Here is an 8,215-nt window from a genome sequence, read left to right on the forward strand (position 1 = left end):
GTTTTCTTCTAAGAATCTGAATCATGAACTGTAAAACACAAGGACAGAAAAAGATTACAACATAATCATTCCAACAGTGTTCTTAGTTTCTGATTCCTATATTTCAGGACCTGTGTAGATTCTTATCCTTTGAGCTACCTCATATCTTTCCTTTAAATCCTTGTTTTGATTTTGTTTTTGTGTTTTATTTAGATTGACCAGAATCGGTTGTTTCTGCTGCTCACAACCAAAAAATCCTGTTCATGCTGAAACTAAGGTTCCGACTACTTTGAAGTTGAAAGTTATCGAAAATTATCTGGTGACTTGAGGTTAAGATAGAGCATGGTAAGACCTACTTTAAACCCAATGGCACAATTTAAAAAAATAGAACATGGAAGTAACAAAAAAAGAAGACATTTTCTTATGTGATGAGAGCAGGCGTTTCAGACCTGCCATGGCCCCACTCTGAGCCCATTGATGAGCTCAGGGATTAGGGTTCTTTCTACCCCAGATTGCTTACTCCACACAAAATGCTAGGATCTCCACTTTAGCAGGTACTTCTATGGAATGCAGAGGCCATTTGGAAGCTATGTCCTCTCAGTGGGCTCTGCATGTGTGTCCTTTGCATTGAGTACTTGCTGATTCAGTGTTATAATGAGGAAAAGACCATTTTAAACCAAGTCCAAGTCATCTTTTACTCCAGGATCCAAGTTCAGTCCACTTTTTGTGGCCTGGCCCAGCCCAGGGATGGCTGTAATCAAGGTCATAGAGATGGGAAGAAGGGACAAGGAGGCTCCCAAGAGGGAATATTGTGTGGCTGGGAAGGACCATGAGTACTGACCTGTGTACCAGGAGTCAGTTGGATGGAAACTTTTAAAATAGACCCAGTAGGCAGCTAAATCAGAACCTGCCTCATGCATCTCTGCTTCTTAGTGGTAAACATCAACCCACAGGAACTGACAGTATGCAAAAAACTAATGAGTTATAACCCTCAGGCCCACCAGTCCAGCAAAGAGCCCTGTTCCTTAAGTGTAACTCGGAGTGAAGATGTGCACCCCCTGGAGGGGCCATTGAGGCCTATTTTGGGGTTGGCTGCAGCAACAGCAGCAACAAAAGCCACCAGGGCAGGCAGATCGGCCCAAGCCACATCTCTTTCAACTACAGATTAACTTTCCAAGTGCTGGTTTTGCCAGCAGCAGCAGCATGAATGAGAGATCATGAAAAGCAGGCATATGTGGCCACTTGGGTGTCTTTTCAAATGCACAGGTTTTATTAGGAGATGGTGCCAGGTCTCTAGATCTGACAGGAGCAGCAAATTCTGGAGCAGGCAGCATCCTGGACAATGGTTGAGAGTCCTCAAGCCTCCAAGAGACACACATAAATTGTACACCTGAGATGAGAGCTCTCAGAACCAACCCTGAAGATCTGGCAGCTATTAAGAAAAGAAATCCTAGACAGAGGAAAAGGAGTAACAGCAGACTTGAGGGGAAGATAACCAGTTTGTTTGGTGCACTGCTGAGTTTGCTGTGTGACGTAGAATATATATCCCTGCCAAATCTCATGCTGAATTGTAATTCCCAATGTTGAAGGTGGGCCTGGTGGGAGATGTTTGGGTTATAGGGGTGGAACCCTCATGGCTTGGTGCTGTCCTCACAATAGTGAGTGAGTCCACACAAGATCTGGTTGTTTAAGTGTGTGGCACCTCCTCCCCACTCTCTGCTCTTGCTTTCGCCATGTGATGTGCCTGCTCTGGCTCCTGCTTTGCCTTCACCATGAGTAAAAGCTCTCTGAGGCCTCCCCAGAAGCCGAGCAGATGCTAGTGCCATGCTTGTACAGCCTGCAGAAACATAAGCCAATTAAATCTCTTTTCTTTATAAATTATCCAGTCTCAGGTATTCCTTTATAGCAATGCAAGAATGGCCTAATGCAGAAAATTGGTACCAGGGAGTAGGCATTGCTATAAAGATACCTGAAAATGTGGAAGCAACTTTGGAACTGGGTAATGGGAAGAGTTTGGATGGCTCAGAAGAAGACAGGAAGACAAGGGAAAGTTTGGAATTTTTAATAGCCTGGTTAAAATCCTGATAGTGATATGGACAATAAAGTCCAGGCTTACGAGGTCTCAAATGGAAATGAGGAATTTTATTGGGAGCTAAAGCAAAGGTCACCCATTTTATGCTTCAGCCAAGAACCTGGCTGCGTTCTGTTTATGCCCTAGGGTTCTATGAAAGTTTGAGCTTCAGAGTGATGGTTTTGGATATCTGGCAGAAGAAATTTCTAAGTAGCAAAGCATTTGAGAAGTGGCATGGCTTCTTTTAATAACCTATGCTCAGATTTGATAGCAAATAAATGACTTAAAGTGGGAATTTATATTTAAAGGGAAAGCAGAGCATAAAATTTGGAAAATTTGCAGCCTGGCCATGTGGCAGAGAAAGAAAAAGCTTTTTCAGGAGAGAAAGTCAAGCAGGCTGTAGAGCAATCATTTGCTAGAGAAATTTGCATAACTAAAAATGAGCCAAGTGCTAATAGCCAAGACAATGGAAAAAAGGCCTTGAAGGCATTTCAGAGATCTCTGAGGCTGTCTCTGCCATTAGAGGCCCTTAGGCCTAGGAAGACTGAATGGTTTTATGGGCTAGGTCCCCAGCCCCACTGCCCTGTGCAGTCTTTGGGACAGTGCTCCCTGTGTCCCTGGGACAATGCTCCCTACATCCGGGCACTCTGGCTCCAACTCAGCTCAAAGGTCCCCAGATACAACTTGGACTCCTGCTTCAAAGGGTGCAAGCCATAAACCTTGGTGGCTTCCACATGGCATTAAGCCTGCAGGTGCACAGAGTGCAATAGAGAAGGGGGCTTGGCAGCCTCTATCTAGATTTCAGAGGATGTATGAGAAAGCCAGGGGTGGAGTCCTCACAGAGAACCTCCACTAGAGCAGAACAGAGGGGAAATGTAGGGTTGGGTGCGCCACACAGAGTCCCCACTGGGACACTTTCTAGTGGAGCTGTGGGAAAGGGGCCACCATCCTGCAGATCCCAGAATGGTAGATCCACTGGCAGCTTGCACCCTGCACCTGGAAAAGCCACTGGCACTCAACAATCTGTGATGGCAGCTGTGCAGATTGAACCCTGCAAAGCCACAGGGATGAAGCTGCCCAAGGCTGGGGAGCCCAACCTTTGCACCAGTGTACTCTGAATGTGGGATATGTAGTCAAAGAAGATTATTTTGGAGCTTTAAGATTTAATGACTGCCCTGTTGGATTTTGAACTTGCAGGGTCATAGGTAGAAGGAATGCATTTCCACATGAGATTTTGGACTTGGGACTTTTGATTGAGTTGATGCTGGAACAAGTTAAGATTTTGGGGGGCTGTTGAGAAGCCATGATTGTATTTTGTAATGTAATAAGGACATGAGATTTGAGGGGCCAGGGACAGAATTATATAGTTTGAATATATGTCCCTGCCAAATCTCATGTTGGATTGCCAATCCCCAATGTTGAAAGTAGGGCCTGGTGGGAGGTGTTTGGGTCATAGGAGCAGATCCCTTGTGGCTTGGTGCTGTCCTTGCAATAGTGAGTTAGTTCTCACAAGATCTGGTATTGTTGCACCTCCCACACCTTCACTCTCTCTTTGCTTTCACCATGCGAAGTGCCTGCTCCTGCTTCACCTTCTGCTATGAGTAAAAGCCCTGAGGCCTCCCCAGAAGCTGACTAGATGCTGGTACCATGTTTGTACAACCTGCAGAACCATGAGCCAATTAAATCTCTTTTTTTAATAAATTGCCCAGTCTCTGGTATTTCTTTATAGTAGTGCAAGAATGGCCTATTACACTGTGTCTGCAGGATATAAAGGCAGAAATATCTACTTGGTAGTTGTTTCTACTTGGTTGGAGTCCAAGAGAAATGTCAAAGCTGAAGACATGGGTATAGGTAGGAGTCAAAGACATGGAACTGGATGGTGTGCACCACAGAAAATGCATCAGGAGAGGAAAGTGAAAGGTTAAGGAAACTTGGGTAATTCCAAAATTTAAAAAATTATAACATGAAGAAGAAAAGAGAAGGGGTGATCAAAGATCAGGTTTCTAAATCTCAGCACAATTGATATTTGGGCCCGCATAATCCTTTGTCTCAGAGGGCTGTCCTTGGCATTTGTTTAGCAACAGCACTGGCCTCTGCTCACTAGAAGCACTCTCCTCCCTGTTTTGACAATCAAAAATGCCTCCAGATACTCCCAAATGCCTTTGTGGGTAAAATTGTCCCTGATCGAAAACCATTGATCAAAGATCTAAGAGGAAAACAGGAAACAAAGTGTGTCACAGAAGCCAAGGGCTTGAAAAATAGTTAACAATGTTAAAATCCTAAGAGATATTGAGTAAAACGAGAACCAAAGGAACCAGTGTTTGTCCAGAAAGTCATTGGTGAACCAATCAAAAGCAGTTTCAGTGGAACAATTAAGGAAGGACACCAGACTGGCTGAATGTCCATCCAACAAATAAACAGTAAATGACATTCACCAGTTAAAAGGGTATTTGGTTGAACTAGGTGATCATTTTAAGGTTCCTTCCAACCCTGAAATTGTGTCATTCCAAATGGTCTCCAAGGAAGATCTTTCAGGATCCCTCAAGCCCTGGGCTGCTGGTGGCTGCTCACAAGTTGACATGTCAAACTAGCATGTCTCTGCTTGCCTTACTCAGGTCACAGGAAATAAAAATCCAAGGGGAATTGCTATGCGATCCGGACCCAATCCATGATAAAAACTAAAATATGGTTTTCTTTATGTCATCACATAACCAACTGTTAAGCAATAGAATGTGTTAGACTTTAAAGGCAGTTGCGATTTACAGAGAGGCTGAGTTCATAAGTAAAGTCCAGGTTTAAGGTTGGTCTGAGGAGAAAGGGCCATGGGGCTGAAGTTGCCCAGGGTCTGCTGGAAGTATGTGAGCATTGTCAAGTGTATTAGTCCATTTTCACACTACTATAAAGATACTACCCAAGACTGGGTAATTTATAAAGGAGAGAGGTTTCATTGACTCACAGTTCTGCGTGGCTGGCGAGGCCTCAGGAAATTTACAGTCGTGGAAGGCAAAGAAACAGCAAGCACCTTCTTCACAAGGCAGCAAGAAAGAGAGAAGAGAGAGTGAAGGGGGAAGAGACCCTTATAAAACCACCTGATCCCATGAGAACTAACTACTATCATGAGAACAGCATGAGGGAAACCACCTCTGTGATCCAGTCACCCCCCACCATGTCCCTCCCTCAACATCTAGGGGTTACAACTGGAGATGAGACTTGGGTGGGGACACAGAGCCAAATCATAACATCCAACACCTCTAGACTTGATCCTGTGGGCTGGATCAGATGAGGAGAGTCCTGTCTGCAGATCAAACCCACAGTGGCTGGAGTGCACTAACTGTGCCATGGAATGCCTGCATAGTAATTGACCTTCACAATTGCAGCACTCTTCTCAGGCTTTTGAACAATCAAACTAACTTCTATATGAGTAAAAAAGAAATTAAAAGCAAAGATCAGATTTTCAAACTAATTCAGAAAGAAAGGATAGCAGAGATTCTGTTTTTAAAATGCTGAATTGAAGGCTGGGCATGGTGGCTGACATCTATAATCCCACCACTTCTGGGAGGATCACTTGAGGCCTGGAGTTTGAGACCAACCTGGGAAACATGGCGAGACCTCATCTCTACAAAAAAATTAGCTGGGTGTGGTGGCATGTGCTTGTAGTCCCAGCTACTTAGGAGGCTGAGGCAGGAGGATCGACTGAGCCCAGGAGATCAAGGCTGTGATGATCCGAGATGGCACCGCACTATACTCCAGCCTGGGCAATAGAGTGAGGCCCTGACTCAAAAAAATAAAAATAAAAAAATAAAAAAAAAGCAAAATTGAGAAACAAGAATTTTATTCCTGGCTTAGTTACTAACAAAGGGTGAGTCACCTCCCTTCTCTGCATTCAGTTTCCACACCTGAAAAATAGGGGTTTGAGCCAAGATGCTTTTTGTTTCTGAAGTAGAGTCGGGGGTTCCTGATGTGTGTTTCCACTGTTGAAGTTCTTATTACACTTCATAGTATGGCTTGTTTAATTGAATGTCCTCCAATTAACAAGTGTAGTGACCTGTTCCACCACAGTCACTACAATTCACTTGTCCACCACTGAATCCCCTGCAGCCTGCAGTCCTTGACAAATATCTGTTGAAGGAATCGATACTCCTACCTACAAAAGGCAGCTCTAGGGAAAAAGTTATTTGGTATAAATTTCAATACCATGAGCTAGGATCAGAGCCTCCCATCACACTTTGCTTCTTTAAGTTTTTATAAAAGCTCAGCTATGGGCTACAGTAAGTGGCAACATTCTAAAATACTTCCCACACCTCTGATATGGATATCACTACCATCCTATCTTATGACTTCCAACTAAAGCAAAATTGGAAGCTGCATCCCAAGTCAACTATTTTAAAAGACAAAAAATCCAACACTGTTAATTCTGGTACGTTACTCACCTGCCCCAATGAGGTTAACTTGCCTTGGGACACCAGAAAACGACGCACAAGATTTAATGGGTAAGGAATCTTACTTTGGAGTGACAGGAATGTTTTATAACCAGATAGAGGTGATGGTTGCACAATATTGGGGCTGTAATTAATGCCACTGAATTGTTCCCTTAAAACTGTTTAATTTTATGTTATGTGATTTTCACCTCAATAAATTATTAAAAATAAGAAATATAGCACCTAAAATATATTTTTATGTGAATTTGCTGTTTCAAAAAACCCACTTTATTAAACATTTACTTGAATACAAAAATGAATTCCAAATTAAATAATTCCTTCTGGAGAAAGGCCCAGAAAAAGAATATAGAGCTGCTTATAACTCATTGTTAATTTGCAAATGATGCTGAACCCTTGCCATGCTTCTGCATAATGTGGTTCAGTCAAGGGTTTGGTAATGAGCAGTTCATTTGGAGCCATTTTTCCAGAATAAAGGATGCTATTCATGAAATGATTCCTCAAGTATTTATAGTTATATGCCAATCTTTATTTTTTAGTTTATGGGGAGACTTCTTTTTGAAAGGCTTAATTTGGGACTTAAGAAATTTAAGGGGCCTCAGGTTGCTTCTCATTGATAACTGATCATTCCTTCTCCCCATATTCAATGTGTTTGAGTGGTGTAGTAGTTTTCTAAGGCTGCCATAACAAAATGCTAAAGACTGGGTGGTTTAAACAACAGAAATTAATTTTCTCATAGTCTGGAGACTAGAAGTCCAATATCAAGGTGTCGGCAGATTTGGTTTCCCCTGAGGCCTCTCTTCTTGGCTTGCAGATGAGCACCTTTTTGCTGTGTCTTCACATGGCCTTTCTCCTCTGTGCTCATCCTAATTCTTCTTGTGTCCAAATTTCCTCTTCTTATAAGGACGCCAGTCAGGTTAGATTAGGGCCCACCTAATGGCCAAGGTTAGGGGTTACAGCTTCAACATATAAATTTTGAAGAAACACAGTTCAGCACATAACAAGCAGTATCTAAATGGACCCACCACATATTACAAAAGTTTCTAATAATAATGCAATATTAAAGTAGATTCAACCTCAACATTGGCAAAGACAAGCAGCTTCATGATGCTTTTCCCGTTTTGCTTCTCCAGCCAAGAGGAGAAAAAAAGAAATATTTTAAATAGCATAAATCTGCTTTTGTTTTCCAAGGGTCTATTTTTTTCTTTTCCTAGGCAAGTCCTAGTTATAAATAAAATAATCCTAATCAAGTTATCGATAATTTTAATATCCTTTTAATTAAGTACATGAGGTATTAAATATAAATTTAACTAAATCTGATTCCCATTGGGAAATGAATGACTACTCTGAGGTGATTCACATTTGTAAAATGGCAATGATACTCATCTATGTCACTGGAAACACATAAAAATAATATACATCAACATTGATTGTAATCTATGAAATGCAACATTAATACAAGGTGAAATTATTAATAATGCCATTCAGTACAAACAAATGAAGAATGATGCAATTATATAAGAAATAAATTTGTGACAGAAAATTTCTCAGTTAATTTTTATGTAAGCTTTGCTTTTTTGGCTTAGTTTTATTTCAAGAATTATTGAATGAGTTTAGAAAGAGTAGTGAGTTGTAGGTATACGCCATTAAGCAAGTTGCTCCTTTCGTTAGCTAAGAAAAGAATCTGGAGGTGGGGGGTTAGGAAGGAAAGAAGCTCAACCAGATTCTA

Source organism: Homo sapiens, chromosome 3 (assembly GCF_000001405.40).
Source record: "Homo sapiens chromosome 3, GRCh38.p14 Primary Assembly".
Lineage (NCBI taxonomy): Eukaryota > Metazoa > Chordata > Mammalia > Primates > Hominidae > Homo > Homo sapiens.